The 18,687-nt window shown below is 35.9% G+C and overlaps 2 long non-coding RNA genes across 2 annotated transcripts in view; one reads left to right on the forward strand and one right to left on the reverse strand.

Annotated features, from left to right (window-relative positions):
• Window positions 1-5,819, forward strand: part of LINC01799 (long intergenic non-protein coding RNA 1799) — a 67,031-nt gene extending 61,212 nt beyond the window's left edge. Inside the window, exon 5 of the long non-coding RNA NR_110169.1 lies at window positions 5,629-5,819. This is a non-coding gene — a long non-coding RNA (long intergenic non-protein coding RNA 1799). The remainder of the gene's footprint in view (window positions 1-5,628) is intronic.
• The window catches only part of LOC105374785 (uncharacterized), a 48,470-nt gene continuing 30,779 nt past the window's right edge, over window positions 997-18,687 (reverse strand). Inside the window, exons 2-3 of the long non-coding RNA XR_940210.3 lie at window positions 2,533-2,688; window positions 997-1,682 (exon numbers count right to left, since the gene is read on the reverse strand). This is a non-coding gene — a long non-coding RNA (uncharacterized LOC105374785). The remainder of the gene's footprint in view (window positions 1,683-2,532; window positions 2,689-18,687) is intronic.

Here is an 18,687-nt window from a genome sequence, read left to right on the forward strand (position 1 = left end):
TCAGGGCCTGAGTGTCTTGAAATAATGGGCTTTGGGTCTTGTTCTTGTATGGTAGCTTCTAGAAAACATAGACATCTCACTTTATTACTTGAGGGTCCTTTTTTTAAAATGAATCGAGTGTAGCTTCGGTTGCACTGTGATAATTTAGTTCACTTCTGAACTTGACAATCTATTCATCAAAAAACGAAGGAGAGAGTCTTAGAAGGATGCATAATTGCTGCTAATGTCCACTTAACCAACAACCATGCATGCTTTGATGACCTTCAAAATGGTTGACAGTTGAAGAAAATGGATCTTGCATTGAAATGTATTAAGAAAAAGTTTTAAAACCTATGCCATCTGTGGGTTTGAACTGGATATATCAGTTTTTGTCCCATGCCATCTGTAGGTTTGAACTGGGTATAATATCAATTTTTGTCAGAACAATTTTCATGCATCTTCTGGACTCCAAGTTCAGGGAACAAAATAGTATTAATGACACCATGAAAGTGAAATGAGCATCTTGAAGTTCAAGCTTCTCCCCTAATAAAGTAGCAGAGGGGATCTCTTCCCTCAGTTGCTACTGAGAATCAACAACAACTGATGGCCTGAAGTTAACAAGCTAATATTTCATCCATGGATACCAGAGTGTTAATGGCTAAATGTGCCAGTGGAGGAAAGGAGCACATATGCAGCTATTTGCCCGACACAACTTCTGCTGTCATGGCCTATTAAAACCAGTTTACATGTGCATGTCGAATTTGATGAATATGTATGTGACCCTTTTCAGAGCCATCACTCATTGGGCTATGGCCCCATGGCAGGAAAAACAGCACCTCTCATTAAACACAGCATGAGTTACAGGCATGTTATGTTAATATTTCTTCAGAACTTTAGGGGGTTTTCTTCTTCTTCTAATAAATTGTGTGAAGAAAATAATTTAAAAGTATAATTGATTTAAATTAAAACCTTTTTCTCATTTTCTTCTTAACTATTTGATTTGGTGTGTGGGTTCTGGAAAGCTCTTTCCTCAGGAAGTTGTCGGACATGTTTATGAATTGTGCTTTGTAACACTCATTTGGGACTCCCGAGGTAGGCCCCCTCCTCAGTGCGAAGTTTAGCAAGGCTAAACAGGAGACCTTTCTGTATAGAACTTGAAAACTCAGGAAAGACAGGGCTCCTTTGGGCCATGAATGAATCATCTGTTAACTCACAGTTCTTATCAGTGGGTCTGGCACACAGTAAGTTTTCAACAAATGATAGCTACCCTGATCACTTTTACTATTGTTATTTAAGCTAGAGTTAAAACAATCTTTGTGCTAGGGAAGATAAGAGGCTTTCTGAACATGCTTTCCAAAAAGTCTAGGGGAAAAAAAGCAGAATAGAGTCTTACCTTAAGTAAGTACACATAAACTATTGATGCAGTAATTCCAAAGATTTATGCCGAAAACCCTAAAAGGCCAAACAAGTCCGATTCCTCCCATATCCCTCCTACTCCTACTTCTGTCAAAGTCTCACAATATCCTTTTCCACCCACGCTGCTCCTCTGGCCCTTCCCTGGTGTCTGCTCAATGGTTAAAAGCTGCTTGAGGGCAGGGGTGATTCTTGATACTCTTCTGTGGCATCCCAAATACCTAGCTCAGTGTCTGGTAAACAGTGGGTGCTCCATATCTGTGGGTCCCTTCTCTGCAGATTCAACCAACCTGGAATAGAAAATACTAAAAAATTATAATAATAAGTAATATAACAATAAAAATATACAAATTTGAAAGTACAGTATAACAACTATTTACATAGTATTTACTTTGTACTAGGTATTATAAGTAATCTAGAGATGCTTTAAATTATTAGAGGATGGGCACAGGTTGCATGCAGATAGTATGCCATTTTATATAAGGGACTTGAACATCTGCAGGAGTTCTGGAACAAATCTGCCTCACCCCATTGATAAGAGGAACAACTGTGTGAATTGTAATCACCTCCCAAAATTGATCCCCTAATTGATGACCCCTTTATACCAAAACCTTGAAGACCATCTTCTCTATATACATGTGCTAATGTACTAGATGATTACTAACCTATGACTCTAAATGCCTGGACAGTTTAGCCACTGTCAAGAGACAGTACCTAGGGAAGAGAGGATTTTGGTGAGGAAAAGAACATCATTTCAAAAGGAGCTACCCTGCTGGAAGGCTGGGCTCCCTAGAGAGCTGCAATACAGGAACATTGAAATAAGAGCTTAGAACTGGGGTTCTAATCTTGACTCTGCTTTCGTCTGGCTGTGAGGCCAAGGAACATGTTTATTTTAGATGTCAGTTTCCTTGTTTGCGAATTATTGCCAAGGTCTTCAAGATCTGAACTGCTCTCCACAAAGAATTTCACTCCACTTTTAAAGAACTGATCTTGGTCTCATATCTTCCTATATACTGTGGTGTATCAGAGCATTAGAAAAGATAATTACATACTTAACCTTCCATCATAGGTCTTTTCTCCCTGTGGAGAGGAGATGGCACATTCCTGCAATTCTCAAACAAAGATTACAGAGATACTCACGTTTCTTTTCCCCTTTCCAGCATCACCATCTGCGAGCCTAGAATCTGGAGCTGGGCTGCTTCCTGTGCTATCTGGTTGTCCATTTAAAATATCCAGGCAGTACTGAAGATCCCCTTTGAAATTCCTCATTGTGGTCACAGGTCTTCAGATTGACTCCTAGAAGGCAGAAAACCAAACCATGCGAGAAGTGGGAAAGTGCATTTGCTGAACTAATAGTAGCCAAAGTTCAATGCGTATTAAGTCACCATTGGCTATGTCTTGTTCTAAGTGCTTTACATTTTTGCTTCTTATTAACGCATTCAATCTATACAACTACATCATGAGATAAGTGCTATTATTATGCTTACTTTAAACAGAGAGAACTGAGAGGCAAAGAGGATTAGAAATGTGTCCGAGGTCACACAGAGCTGGTAAGGGAAGAAGGCTGTATTCAAACTCTGGGCAGTCTGGCCCCAGAATCCTAGCTGGTTTTTTTGTTTGCCATTCTGCCACAGTCTGTATGAAATTTCTTCTCCCAGGTGTAGGCCTCCTCTGGATAATACATTTGGAAGCAGATAGAGTAACATCCTCTATAATAGAAAAATACAAACTCAAAAACAAATAACAAAACAGACCTAGTTTCTCACCAGAGAAATCTTTTTCTTGCTCCAGCTTTGCTGGAACCAGGTTTTATTAGTAAGGTGTGCACCAGAGAAGAGTGGCTTGAAATTTGGAGACTGCTCCATGTGTGAGGCCAGTCTCATTGGGACCAGCTCTCCAGTCTGAAGTAGGAAGCTGAAGATGCCAGTGGGAGTGCTTAGGTGGAACGCTCTCTCCCAGGATTCACGCCATTACTCTTCCCTCACTTGAGAGGCCCCCAGCTGGCTAAGCAGCAGCCTCAATCGCCAAAGCCATCTCCAACTCACTGTATAAATCTAGCACCAGAGCTGCCAACAGACAGTGCTGGATAAAGTCTGTTCTTCTCCCTGCCAACCAAATGGCCCCACAGCATAAGGTTCCAAGTTTTCTCAGTCTCATAAAACTTGGCTGAATGAGGCAGTGGTGCCATGAAATTTGCATTTATCTTGTGCACCTGACACTTCCCATCATAATGATGGAGTGCTTCCCTCATGTCAGAGTGCTTTTGGCTCTTAGGGAGGACAGGAAAGCAGAGTGGAGGTTGGTTGTGGGATAGGCTAATCAAAGCCAGGAAGAAGAGTAAATCCATAGGCATGAAGAATGAAAAACAAGGTGTGGAAGAAATGGAAGACTGGGGCGCACTGGGGGACTTAAGATAAAAGAGGTTTCCAGGGCCCCTTGTGCATTTGGGTCATCAGTCATCTGTGCTTTTCAGGGACAACCTTGCTGGTGACCTCCAGGTCCTGATGTGCAGCATCCATGCAGCTGCCCCAGGGAAGCTGATCTCCTCTTTCATAGTACATCATTGTGTGCACATTTAGAGCTAGCCTGCAAGAAGATTGACCTACAGGGTCTATAGGTTGTTGTAATGAAATGGTTTTGTTGCATTGGTATTAAGGTTTTGAATGGGAGAGTGGGTGGGGGAGACTTTAGAGTTTCAGCTGAATGTGAGAACAAAAATAAAGAAAAAGGAAAAATAAAACTTGTACTCAAGTGAAAGTTCCCTTATCTGCCTCTTTGTTCATCTTGCTTAAAAGTTCTCAAATTTGTTTTAGTTAAAAAAAAAAAAGGGGGGGGGAGAAAAAGGCTCAGTGGCTAAAGAGCTTGGACTATATAGCAGAGGTCTAGGTTCAAATCCCAGATCAAACATTTACTGGTGGCCAAAGTCTGAGTCTTTCTTTGCCTCTCTTTCCTCACTGATAAAATAAGGATATTAGAAGGAGTATTTTATAGAGTTGTTTTGAGGTTAAATGAGATAATGTGTGCTATGTACTTGGTGCAGGTGCCTTGTAGGTACCATAGGTGTGGGTTAATACTTGACCTCAGGATTTTGGAGGGATGATTCAGGGTTTTAGAAACCATAAATCTCAAGTCTCTCATTTATAACTCCACCATGAAAATTATTGCCTAATGTAGATCTATTTTTTAATGTCTTAGTAAGATTCATAATATCTGAATAATTGTTGAAGTTAGGGTTGGTAGAAGGCCACCCATTAAAACAATTATATATTTTCTCTATTGTGCTCTTGTCTATTAGTCAGATTTTTCCCTACTAGATCTGAATTTTCGAGAATAAATTTCCGCTACTGCCTCAACTCTTTGCCCCCTTCTCAGAGACAAAATGTGAACTAGGCATTTATGATACTCTTTTTCACTAGAGGAACTGGCCTAGATTCGCCCAATATGACTACATGGATGGTGGGCTTGACATTTCCTGTGCGCTTGGAAATCTAGGGCCATGCAATATTCCTGTGGTCAATGAAAGTTTCTTCGCCATTCTTTGATGACCACCCAGCCTAATTCAAGGCTGAGTGTGGTGGCTCATGCCTGTAATCCCTCCAGATTTTATTAGCAGCAGTAAAGAAAGGCGCCTTCTTTTGGTAAGAAAGCCAAAATTAAGAAATGGAAAACTGACTTTGAAAGTGAATTGTTAACTTGAATCATTCATTCATTTATTCACTTTTTATCAAATATCTATTGTGTGCCAATTTATATTAAACGTGATTCTGTTTAATTTTTAAATTGCTTATATCTTCCAGAAAAAAATGTGTGTGTGTATATATAATACATAAAGTTATATATATATATATAAAGTAAGATACATATGTATGTGTGTATATATATGACATTTAAGTTTATATGTATGTGTATATATACATGAACACACTCATATACACACACATATATGTATATGTATATATGTATATATATGTATATGTATATATGTATATGTATATATGTGTGTATATGTATATATATACATATACATATACATGTAAAGTTAAATGTTACAGTTTCTGAGCTGGTTCAGTGAACACAAATAAATAAGCATACAAATGAATAAAAACTCTCTTTGTTAAATATCCAGTGAATTTCTAAGTTCCAAATTTTTTGAATGAAATAGGCCAAAAATGGCAAGCAAATCTTTTCTGAAATATACATGCTAACAATTACTTTGTCGATTTCCTCATTGTTTAGGAGAGTCTTCTCTTATCTTCAAGAAGAATAAAAAGTGAAGCTGACATTACTTGGAAAGAGAATAAACAAAATCTGTCATGAGGACTGCAGGGATGAATGACACAAACCAGCCATTTCTTTGAGAGTCAGGAAATATCTAGTTTATACAATAAGCTGATCTACCAATAAAATACAATTGGTGTTGAAATATATGGCTGAGGAAAGTCCTCATGTTTCAAGGTTCAAAGTTATTCCAAAGAAGTCCTCGCTCTACAAATGTAACATTGAGATGACGTATTATATGCTTATCAGAATAAACTAAAGGAACATCAATTCAAAGATATTTTCACTCCAGAAATATATGTATAGGTTTTGTATGTGTTTGAGTATATATGTATGTATGTATATTTTGTACATATATATTCATATGTACATAAATATATACATTAATGTTACATTTAGATAATATATAATACTAAGATAGTATAAAACATTATTACTTCAATGTCATTCATTTATAGTTTTTAAGGCTTTCTTAATTCAAATCTAGAGCATAAATTATAATAAAAGGTGGAATTTATACTAGTATTAGGAAATCATAATTTAGAATATGCCTTTGTGGGCAAAGTGAGAAGAGTTAGTAATTATTTATGAATCCTTTCCTGAGAATAAACACTTATTGCTGCTCTCATGAATTAGACTGATTTCAAACAAAAACCTGTTAGAAGATGTAATGAAAGAAAATGTCCCATTTATAAGAGTAATGAATAAGATAAAATACCAAGGAATAAACAGAACAATAAATGATTCACTCCCACATAAAGAAACATTTTAAATATTACTAACAGCCTCATAAAAGACTTAAACAAACAAAAAGGCATGGCATGTTCTTGGATAGAAAGATTCCAGGCCATAAAGATGTAAAATTTCTTTAAGTTAATTTCTAAATTTAATGTGATCCCAATCAAACTGACATTTTATAAGTTTATAAGAAAAAAGAATAAACAAAAATAACAATGAAAACTGTGAGAACAAAGAAGTGTGAGGACAGATTAGCCCTTCCAGATGTTAAAACATATTATAAAGACTCAAATATCAAAATAGTGTGGTGCTGGGGTATAAACAGAAAAATAAACGAGCTAAATGGAAAGTCCAGTAAACAGTGCAAACATGTACGGAATTTAATAAATGGTTAAAGTGACATCTTTAATCAATGAGGAAAAGGAGATCGATACAATAGATGATGTTAGAGCAATTGGAAAGCCAAATGAAAAAAATAATTTTGACATATACTTCACATTTTACACCAAGATAAATTCGAAATTGAAGATTTAAATAATAATAAAGCCATAAAAGTTCAAAATAGAAACATGAAGAAATTCCTTCACAATCTTAAAGTAGAGGAGGAATTTGTAACTATAACTCAAAATCTATAAGTATAAAAGATACTGATAGTTTTGATTATATAATATACTAAGAAATTGATTTATGGCAAAACAATAAAATACCTAGAAATGAAAGACTTGTATGCTAAAAACTACAAAACATTGATGAAAGAAGTTAAAACCCAAAGATGGAAAGATAACCTGTGTTCAAGAATGAAACACAGTATTATTAAGATGGCAATATTCTTCAAAGCCATCTACAGATTCAATGGAATCTCTATCAAAATTCCAATAGCCTGTTATTTGAAGAAATGAAAAACATCAGTCCTCAAATTTGTTTGAAATTACAAGAGACCCTAAATAACCAAAAAAGTACTGAAAAAGAACAATGTTGGAGGACAGATATGTTATCAATTTCAAAACTTTCTATAAACTACAGTAATCAAAACAGTGTGGTACTGGCAAAAGGATAAACATGTATCCTTTTATTGGTTTATTCATGGTTTATTTTATTGCTTTAAATTAAATCAATTTATTGGTTTATTCATGGAAAAACCAGTTTATTGGTTTATTCATGGAAAAACCAGCTTATTGGTTTTATTCATGGAAAAACCAGCTTATTGGTTTTTTTCATGGAAAAACCAGCTTATTGGTTTATTCATGGAAAAACCAATTGGATATCATTGAGAGTCCAGAAAAAAAATCCATAAATCTATGGCCAATTTATTTTTTAAATTGATATATAATAATTATATTTATGGGGTACATAGTGATGTTTTGATATGATGTATAGTGATCAAATCAGGGTAATTAGCATATCCATCATCTCAAACATTTATCATTTCCTTGTCTTGGGAACATTCAGGATCCTACTTCTAGCTCCTTAAACTGTTTATTATATTATGGTTAACTTTAGTCATCCTACCACTGTAGTATAACTAAAACATTTCTTCTACCTACCTGTAATTTTGTATCCTTTAACAAACGTCTCCCTAACTTTCATTTATCCTTGCCCTTCTCAGCCTCTAGTATTGTCTATTTTTAGCTCTATGAGATAGACTTCTTTTTAGTTTCCGCATGAGTGAGAATATGCAGTTTTTAACTTTCTGTTCTTCGCTTATATCACTTAACATAATGTTCTCTAGTTCCATCCATGTTGCTATGAATGACAGAATTTCATTTTTTAATGGCTGAATAATATTTCATTGTATAAATATACACCGTTTTTTTTTTTTTTACCCATTTATCTGTTGTTGGACACATAGGTTGATTTCATATCTTGACTATTGTGAATAGTGCTGCAATAAACATGTGGGTGCAGATGTTACTTTGATATATTGATTTCCTTTCCTTTGTATAAATTCCCAGGAGTGGAATTCCTGGATCCTATGGTAGTGTATTTTGGGGAACCTCCCAAAATACAACCTCTTCGTAGTGGCTATACCAGTTTACATTCCCACCAACAATGCATACGAGTTCCCTTTTCTTTACATCTTTTTCAGCATTTGTTATTTTTTGTCTTTTTGATAATAGATATCCTAATTGGGATTAGATGATACCACATTGTGGTATTGATTTGCATTTCCCTGATGTTTAGTGATGTTGAGCATGTTTTCATATATTTGTTGGCCATTCATGTGTCTTCTTCTGTTAAATGTCTGTTGAGATAATTTACCAATTTTTTTTCATTCTGTTGATTGTTTCCTTTGTTGTGCAGAAGCTTTTTAGTTTGATATAATTCCATTTGTTTATTTTTACTTTTATTGCTTATGCTTTTAGGTCTTATTCATAAAATCTTTTCTCAGACCAGTGTCCTGATGTGCTTTCCGTATATTTTCTTCTAATAGTTTCATAGTTTCAGGTTCTACATTTAGGTCTTTAATCCATTGTGAATTGATTTTCTGTATAGGGTGAGAGGGAGGGATCTAGTTTCCTTCATCTGCATATGGATATTCAGTTTTCTCAGCACCATTTATTGAGGAGCCTCTCTTTTCCCTGGTGTTCTTGGTGTCTTTGTCAAAAATCAGTTGGCTGTGGATACACAGATTAATTTCTGGGTTTCCTATTCTGTTCCATTGGTCTGTGTCTGTTTTTATGGCAGTACCATTGAGTTCCCTCCACTTCAATTAATTTTTGATAAAGTAGCCAAAATTTCTCAATGCAGAAAGAATCGTCTCAAGCAAATAGTGCTGGATCAACTGGATATCTATATGTGAAAGAATGAAGTTGGACCCCTACCTTACATCAGATAAAAATTTAACTCAAAATTGATCAATTACCAAAACATAAGAACCAAAACTAGAAGAAAACATAGGGAAAATATATATATATTTTTGCTTCAAATACAACATTAAGAAAGTTAAAAGACAACCTACAGGATGAGAGAAAATATTTGTAAATCATGTATATGATAAGAATCTAGTATCTGAAACAAACAAAAAAAAAACTCCTACAGCTCAACAACAAAAAGACAAATAACCCAACAAAAAAGTAGTCAAAGTATTTGAATAAATATTTCTCCAAAAAAGATATACAGTACAAATAGCAAACAAGGATGTGAAAAGATGCTTAACATCATTAGTCATCAGGGACTCAAAACCATGAGATACTACTAGAAAAAAATCAACAACAGTATATAACAAGTGTTGGTGAAGGTGTGGAGAATTTGAAATGTTGGTGGTGGAAATATAAAATGGTGCAGCCGCCGTGGAAAACAGTTTGGTAGTTCTTCAAAAATTTAAACAAATGTCCATCAATGGATGATGGAAAAACAAAATATGGTAATACATACAATAGAATATTAGCCAGAAAAAGGAAAAAAGTACTGAGTACTGACACATTCTGCCACATAGATAAATCTCAAAAACATTACACCAAATACAAGAATCCAGAATCAAAGATCACATTTTGTAGAATTCCGTATATATGAAACATCTAGAATAGGGAAATCCACAGAGACAAAAATCAGATTGGTGGATGCCGGTGTCTGAAAAGACAAGGGAATAGGGAGTGACTGAATAATGGGTATGAGGTTTGTTTTTGGTTGGTGATAGTGTGTTAGGACTAGACAGAGGTGGTAGTTGTACAACACTGGATAAGTTCCACTGAATTATACATTTTAAAATAGTATGAAATATCTACTGTGAAGGATCATTGAAAGATTCAGTTGGCCATGTATGTAGAACACTGAGTAAGTGCTTTGTAAATAGTAAATATATCATTTTATATAAAGAAAAATATTGCATTGCTTATTTCAGTTAACATAATCACTGAGATGTTAATGTACAAAAGTGTAATCATAATTATTAGAATAGTATAAAATAAAATAGTAAATTTTATGTTACACAAGTTTCATGTCAATAAAAAGTTTTAGCCAAACAAATCAGCATAAAGTATGAACTTCAGTTAATAATAATAATAATAATAATGGGCCATACTAACATAAGATGTTAATAATAGGGAAATCAAGTGTGGGGTATATGGGAATTCATTCACAGAATTTTTTGGAAAAGTAAAACTATACTAAATTAAATTTTTTTAAAAGACAAAAAATTTTTAAAAACAAAATTGAAAAACAAATGACAAAGTTGGAAAAATCTGCAACTCATGACAAACTAAAGGCTAATTTTCTCAACTTTAAGGACTCCTAGAAATTAAGAGAATGTTCACACATCCAATAGGAAAATGGGAAAAGAAAGGTTTATCAAAAGTAAGACAAAGAGTTCATTAAAATATCTCGTTCAAGCATATGAAGAGATGTTTAACTTCTTTTATAAAAAGAAAGAAAGGTACATTGAAAATGACCCTATTGTAACATTGTTACCCACCAGAATGACAAAAATCTAAAAGTTTGACAACATACTCTTTGGTAAGGCTGTATGGAAATAGGCATTCAAAATGATATGTATATAAACTGGTATAACTCTGAAGGATAATTTATCAATATCCATCAAAATTACAAATGAATATACTCACTAACAATTTCATTTGCAGTAATCTATCTTACAGATACACTACATACATAAGAAATGACATACGTACAAGTTTATTCATTTCAGTGGTGTTTTGAATAGTAAAAGACTAGAAAAATCCTGAAAGTCCACTGGGGCTGGACGAATATTATTTATGGTACATTCGTATAATGACATACTATACAGCTTCAAAAAAGAATGAAGTAATTCTCTATGTGCCAGCATAAAATGAATCTGAGATTTAATGTTAAGTGAAAACAGAATAGTATGTATGAATGCTTTTTTTTGTAAAAAAAAAAAAGGAGATAGAAAAATGACAAATATATTTTCATTCATTTGTGTATGAATCAAGAAACTCTAAAAGATATACAATAACAGTGGTTATACCATTATACCTTGAAAGAGAAGGAGTATTCTTTGGGTGAGTAGGGAGGCATTGGGTAGAATGAATTGAAGGAATGCATTTTATTAAGTACTTAAAAAAAACTTGAACCATGTGAAAGTATTACCTATTTAAAGTTAAACTAAAGAATACTTAAGCAACCAAGTCAGAAAGAATTCGTAATGTAGAGATTGGTGTAGACTTTCTCAGAGGAAGACATTCAATGAAGCCATTGTTTCTGAGGCTTCTTGTTAAAACAAGCTACAGACTTCCACGTGTATGAAAATTGTTATGGAAGACAAAAGTGCCCCAACACCTTGTCTTCTTTGACCTTGAAAAGCAAAATCATTGGTTTTTCAGGGAGTGCTGCTGGGCTAGCCTCATCATTCAGGTGGTCTTGCCTTCCTCAGACTCTGCCTCTGGCTCTACCTCCAGTGCCAAGAACAATGCTTGACACCAACTCAGTGCTAGTTAGTATTTATTGAACAATTAAATTTAGGGAGCGCCTATCACTGTGTAAGTAGTTTTAGTCATAGATATTGAATCAGTGGTCAAAGGGGAATGAGAATTTTTTTTAATGAAACATCCATTTTAACTTGACAATGTTTTGGAACCTAAAATCAGAAAGAACCTTTTTTTTTTTTTTTTTAATCCACCTGGAAATCAGGTGTAGCTCCCTGGGTCAGTTTTATTTTTATTTTTTATTTTTTAGAGATGCGGTCTCCCTGTGTTGCCCAGGCTGGTCTTGAACTCCTGGGCTCAAGTGATCCTTCTGTTTTGGCTGCCTAAAGTGCTGGGATTACAGGTGTGGGGCACTGTGCCCAGCCTTGGGTCAATTTTAGAAAATACTCCCTGTCCATCACAGACTCACCATAAAACAAAAATCATGTTTCTTCCCAGAAGAATGGGAGGAACTACTTGCATGTTTTTTCTATATTCTTTTCAGTGTGCCACATCTCAGGGGCAGGGAAATATTCCTTGGAGAAGACATTGACAGTCTCTTGGTGGAGGAGCAAATGAAGGGTTGCTTCTACTGGGTGACTTTTATCCCTGAATAGAGATATGTTACTTTAAAAAATTTTTAACATTTGAACAATTTTCATATGTTTTTCAAGCCTTGGGAATGCTGAGTATATCAGAATATGAAACTAGAATGAGAGCAGAAAAAACAGCCTTCAGATTTCCAAAATGAAAATAGAAAATAGAAGAAAAAGAAGTGTGTCCTTATACAAAACTTAACTCAAGATGCATTAAAGGCTTAAATGTAAAACCCGAAACCATAAAAACCCTAGAAGAAAAACTAGGCAATATGATTTAGGACATAGGCATGGGCAAAGACTTTGTGACTAAAACTCCAAAAGCAATGGCAACAAAAGCCAAAATTGACAAATGGGACCTAATTAAACTAAAGAGCTTCTGCAAGGCAAAAGAAACTACCATCAGAGTGAACAGGCAACCTACAGAATAGGAGAAAATGTTTGCAATCTACCCATCTGACAAAGGGCTAATATCCAGAATCTACAAGGAACTTAAATTTACAAGAAAAAAACAACCCAATCAAAAAGTGTGTGAAGGATATGAACAGACACTTCTCAAAAGAAAACATTTATGTGGCAAACAAACACATGAAAAAAAGCTCATCATCACTGGTCATTAGAGAAGTACAAATCAAAACCACAATGAGATACCATCTCATGCCAGTTAGAATGGCAATTATGAAAAAGTCAGGAAACAACAGATGCTAGAGAGGATGTGGAGAAATAGGAACACCTTTACACTGTTGGTGGGAGTGTAAATTAGTTCAACCATTGTGAAAGACAGTGTGGCAATTCCTCAAGGATCTAGAACCAGAAATACCGTTTGACCCAGCAGTCCCATTACTGGGTATATACCCAAAGGATTGTAAATCATTCTGCTATAAAGACACATGTACATGTATGTTTACTGCAGCACTATTTACAATAGCAAAGACTTGGAACCAACCCAAATATCCGTAAGTGATAGACTCAATAAAGAAAATGTGGCACATATACACCATGGAATACTATGTAACCAAAAAAGGAATGAGATCATGTCCTTTGCAGGGACATGGATGAAGCTGGAAGCCATCATTATCAGCAAACTAACACAGGAACAGAAAACCAAATACCGCATGTTCTCACTCATAAGTGGGAGCTGAACAATGAGAACATATGGACACAGGGAGGGGAACAACACACACCAGGGCCTGTCGGGGCGGGGGGGGGGTGGGTAAGGAGAGGGAGAACATTAGGACGAAAAAATGATGCATGTGGGGCCTAAAACCTAGATAATGGGTTGATAGGTGCAGCAAACCACCATGGCACATCCATACCTATGTAACAAACCTGCACATTCTGCACATGTATCCCAAAACTTAAAAAAAGAGAAGTGTGTTTGCACTTGGTTTACTATTTCAATTTTAAGCATCTATAAACGTAATGCGTAAATCTCTCCCATTGTCAATTGCCAAGAAAGTACCTTTGGATTTTATATTTAAGCATGGAGACTTATAATTTACCACTAGGTCAAGAGATGGCTGGAAATACTTTTATCATAATTTGCTTACATTAATTATTTTCTCTAATGCTTTGCGGTTTTGTAGCTGAAGGGTTTTACAAAATCTTCTACTTTGGGATGAAAAGACATCTTAAGCAGCACGCTTGTCAATGGGAACACACTTCTCTTTCCTTCTCAGAACCGATTTTCTAGGTATGATGAAAAAGTTCTAGGTGGTATCACCTGGGTCTGGATCACTTTGGTCCCCAGAAAAGTTCCAAAATATGTAAGATGTTCAGGTCTCCTAAATGGATATCATAGTCTCTTAGACTTTCAGGCTTTTAAACTGAGATCTCAATCAGACCTTCTGATTTATTTCATTCTGGTCAATATTCACATTCTTACGTCTACATTGAAACAAAGTTGGGAAATAAAAAGTAGATTGTATTTGTTTGCCACCTTGACTCTGAAGTTTATCCACTACTCCCACCTTCATTATGCCTGTCCTCTGGATCCCAGGAGAATTTCTGACTGTGCACTTTGATATTGTCCCATCATATTTGCTGAGCATTGTTACTGTTTCTTTGGTGCGATAATGAGCTCTTCAAGGGCGGAGCCTCTGTCTGACACTTCCTGTGTCCACCCAATTCTTGACCCAGGATTCTGTATACCGTGGAACTGGGCAAACAGTCATCATTTTATATGACAGCTGACCACAATGACATCTTACAAATATCTGCATTTAGGAATGTGTTATGAGCAACATTTCAGCAATAGAGCCAAATATCTCCTGTGAACTAGAAATTTTATGTCTCACACTTGTCTTTTCAACGAGTTGTATATTTATGTGTGAAAATGTATGCTATTTGTTGCCACCTATCAAAGGAATAGACTTTGTATAATTTCCCACATTGGACAATTTAAAAGTGTTTGTGAAGCAAAATTAGTTATGAGTGAAATAATGATTTAATTTTCTACATACTTTTTTTTTTTTTTGGAAATGGAGTTTCGCTCTTTTTGCCCAGGCTGGAGTACAGTGGTGCGATCTCGGCCAATTGCAATCTCTGCCTCCCGGGCTCAAGGGATTCTCCTGCCTCAGCCTCTGGAGTAGCTGGGATTACAGGCTCCCACCACCGGGCCTGGCTAATTTTTGTGTTTTTAGTAGAGATGGGGTTTCACCATGTTGGCCAGGCTGGTCTCGAACTCCTGACCTCAGGTGATCTGCCCTCCTCGGCCTCCCAAAGCGCTAGGATTACAGGCATGAGCCACCACACCCGGCCTATATACCTTTTTAAAATGACAGAGAAAGGAAAAACTAAGAAAACAGTATACTACCGGTTCTTTCGGGAAAGTCCCTAACATCACCCACCTGAGAGTACATAGTAAGGCTCACAAAATGCTTCTTTTCTCCAGAGTCACTGTGATTTAATACTAACTTGAGTTCAATAATGAGCTTCTGGGGGTCCTAGAACCTCCAGAAAGCATTTGCAAAACTTTGTGTTTACACACATTTTACTAAGGAAGAGCAAGAGCTTTCATACCATAGTTCCACGGGGGCCAATGACCCCAAAATATTAAAAGCACCAACTTAGAATCTTACAATCCACTTATGAATAATTTCAGACGGATCTCATCATCAAATTGTGTATGGATTATAATAAATATTTCAAGTTATTTATTCATTTATTTAGTACACACAAGGTACTGTACTTCCAGATGCCAAGTACTGTCCTTGATGCTGGGAAGATAAGAACAATAAGCTCATAGAACGAGAATGTTAGAAGCATTTCCCAAGTAAATAAAACCAAACAGAATTAGGCCAAGGTGACTCTCCTTTAAGTTTTCTGGTACTGATCTGACACTTTGTTCTTTCAAAGGTTGGTTATCACTACAAGTACATATTTTTAATTGAGTTACCATACTAACTATAAATCACTTCAATTAACATTAACTTCTATTGTGGCAGATATAATTAAGAATACATATGTGACTGTTTCTGCTTTTTGTAATGAGCTTTCATAGTAATCACTATTGGAACTACAGTATTAAGTATAATTACTGAGTAATCTACTAGAACCCAGAATCACTTTATAATTATATGATATTTTCCTAAGCATATAGCATGTAGTTACTTTGAGAGTGAAGCATAAGAGTGACATTTTAGCAATCCATTACGTAATTGATGAAATTTTACTAATAAATGTGAGTTAAAATTCATAAATGCTAGACATTTGATTTCCAAAATAAAGCCAGTGATTCATTCAGCTACTTTTTGAAAGGGAAGACACCTTATTTTAAAACCCTAATTCCAAGGGGGAAAATTATCTGAACACACAAATCATGTGGTTTTAGAGTCCAAAAGTAAAGCAGATGGCATTAATTGTCTATATTGAAAGTAAGTGTGTGTTTAATATGCTAGAATAGGATTTTTAAAAACAGTTATATCTTTGTCTGCAGCTCGTTTTTTTTTGGCATATATCTCTAAAAGTTTCTAATAGAAGCTTTGGGATATATTTTTCAAAAAATTATTTTCAGCTTAAAAAATGTATTTTCTGGCAGATGCAGAACTCACATTAAATTCTAAAAAGTTGAGGGGAGGGTGATTGTGTTTTCTCAAGATCTGTGACTTGTTACTTAACAAAGAACCCATTGTAAAATTTCCAAAAACATCGTAGCAATCTAAGACAGAAAGAAAGTATGGCACATAGCAATGATCCCAATTTTTAGGAGCATCGAGAATTAGAAGACAAATTATATAATAAAGTGTATTGATTACCTAGGGCTGCTATAACAAATTACCATAAATTTGGTGGCTTGAAACAACAATTTATTCTTTCACAGTTCTGAAGTCCAGAAGTAAAAAAAAAAAAAAAAAAAATCGAAGTGTTGGACAGGTGGGTACCTTTATGGAGGCTCTGAGGGAGAATCTGTGCCATGCCCGTCTACCAGCTTCTAGTGGCTATCAGCAGTCCTTAGTGCTCTTTGACTTGTAGACATAACAATAGTCTCTGGCTCCATCTCTACCTGGCCTCTTCCCTGTGTCTTCTTTTCTGTCTCCTATCTGGACACCTATTCTTGGGTTTAGGGCCCATGCTAATCTAGAGTTTTATTATATCCAGAAAGACCCTCATTTCAAATAAGGTTACATTCTGAGGTTCCAGGTGGACATATCTTGTGGGGGACACATCCAGCTACTACATAAGGTATGAATGTACATGTAACTTTTCAGAAGGAGTCAGAGCTGTGAGGTGTCCAAATGAAGCCAAAACCTTAGAAAGAGAGCTCTTAGACCTGGAAATGATCTCTGAGAAAAGTAGGACTCCTCCTTCCATTCAACTTGTAGGAAATTATCACCACTTAAGAGAAAAAACAAGGAATGTCAAAAAAACTAAATGGTTTAGCAAGTAATATCATCCAGGAAGTGACCAAAGAGAGCCAGTATGTGTCACTGGCTTCCCACAGAAGTGCTGTTTTCACTCCACTTCATTCAGAGAAAGCAGCACTTAAAGGTGGCCTTAAGGGGTAGGTAAAGAGGAAAGAAAAGAAGAAACCTGAAGTTATTGTAGGAGAAGAAAAATGGGCTGTATTTGGTGGAATTCCTTGTGTCTGACCACTTTAACATCTCAGTGAGGTTATAACTACTACTTTATTGTATCCACCGAACTATCACCTTTGCCTTTACTCATTTTATCACTGCCCATTTAGCCATGAGAAAAGTGTTAAATAAATATTTTTGAGTAGCAGTGAACTAAATTGATTCAATTATAGGTGGGTGCCTTGGGACTCTGCCTAGGTGAGGTTACTATATGCATAATTTATTTATCAGGGGATTTGTTTTGAAAGCAAGTCTATCTCAGTTTCAGAGTTCAGCAACGTCGATTAATTAATTGAACATTTTGAAATATCCTTGCACCCTTTCAAGAACAGATAGAGGGCTCTTGCTGCCACTAGAGGCATAGTGGCTCATGCCTGTAACCCCAGCACTTTAGGAGGCCGAGGCCGGCAGGTCACTTGAGATTCAGAGTTTGAGACCAGCCTGACCAACATGATGAAACCCCATCTCTACTAAAAATACAAAAATTAGCTGGGTGTGTGTGGTGGGCACCTGTAATCCCAGCTACTCGGAATGCTGAGGCTGGAGAATCGCTTGAATCTGGGAGGCGGAGGTTGCAGTCAGCCAAGATCCTATCACTGCACTCCAGCCTAGGCAACAGAACTAGGCTCTGTTTCAAAAAAAAAAAAAAAAAAGTGGATAAAGGACATGCACATGGAATCTAAGATAGTAAGCAGGGAAAGCATTGGAGGCTTGTGGGTCATATTGTCTCTATTGCAACTACTGAACAATGCTGCTGTAACAGGACAGAAGCCATAGACTATATGTAAGCCAATGGATGTGATTGTGTTTCCGTGTAACTTTGTTTATAAAGATAAGTGGTCGACCAGATCAGGTCCATGGACTGTAGTTTGCCAAACTATGTGGTGGGATACTTTTTAAAATTTTCAGTAAATAGTACCTCCGGTCCCTTAGTAGTGCTTCAACCACTGACATGATCTTTTTCTCCTTTACTGGCCATAGCTAGGCAATCTCTACATATTATTGAGCACATTAGCTCTACTCCTACAAACATCTTCTTGGTTCAGAGAAGTCCCCATTATTCAGACTTTTCCTCAGGAATCTTTCTTGCTCTCTTGGTGTTAGTTTTTTCCTCCTTTGACGTCTTTTACAAACCATAGGTAGAGTTACCCTTCTAAAATATTTCTCAAAAACTACGTTCAGTAAGTGAGGATTCCATGGAGTACTATATGTTCAAGCAGTGAAGTGCTA

Source organism: Homo sapiens, chromosome 2 (assembly GCF_000001405.40).
Source record: "Homo sapiens chromosome 2, GRCh38.p14 Primary Assembly".
NCBI lineage: Eukaryota > Metazoa > Chordata > Mammalia > Primates > Hominidae > Homo > Homo sapiens.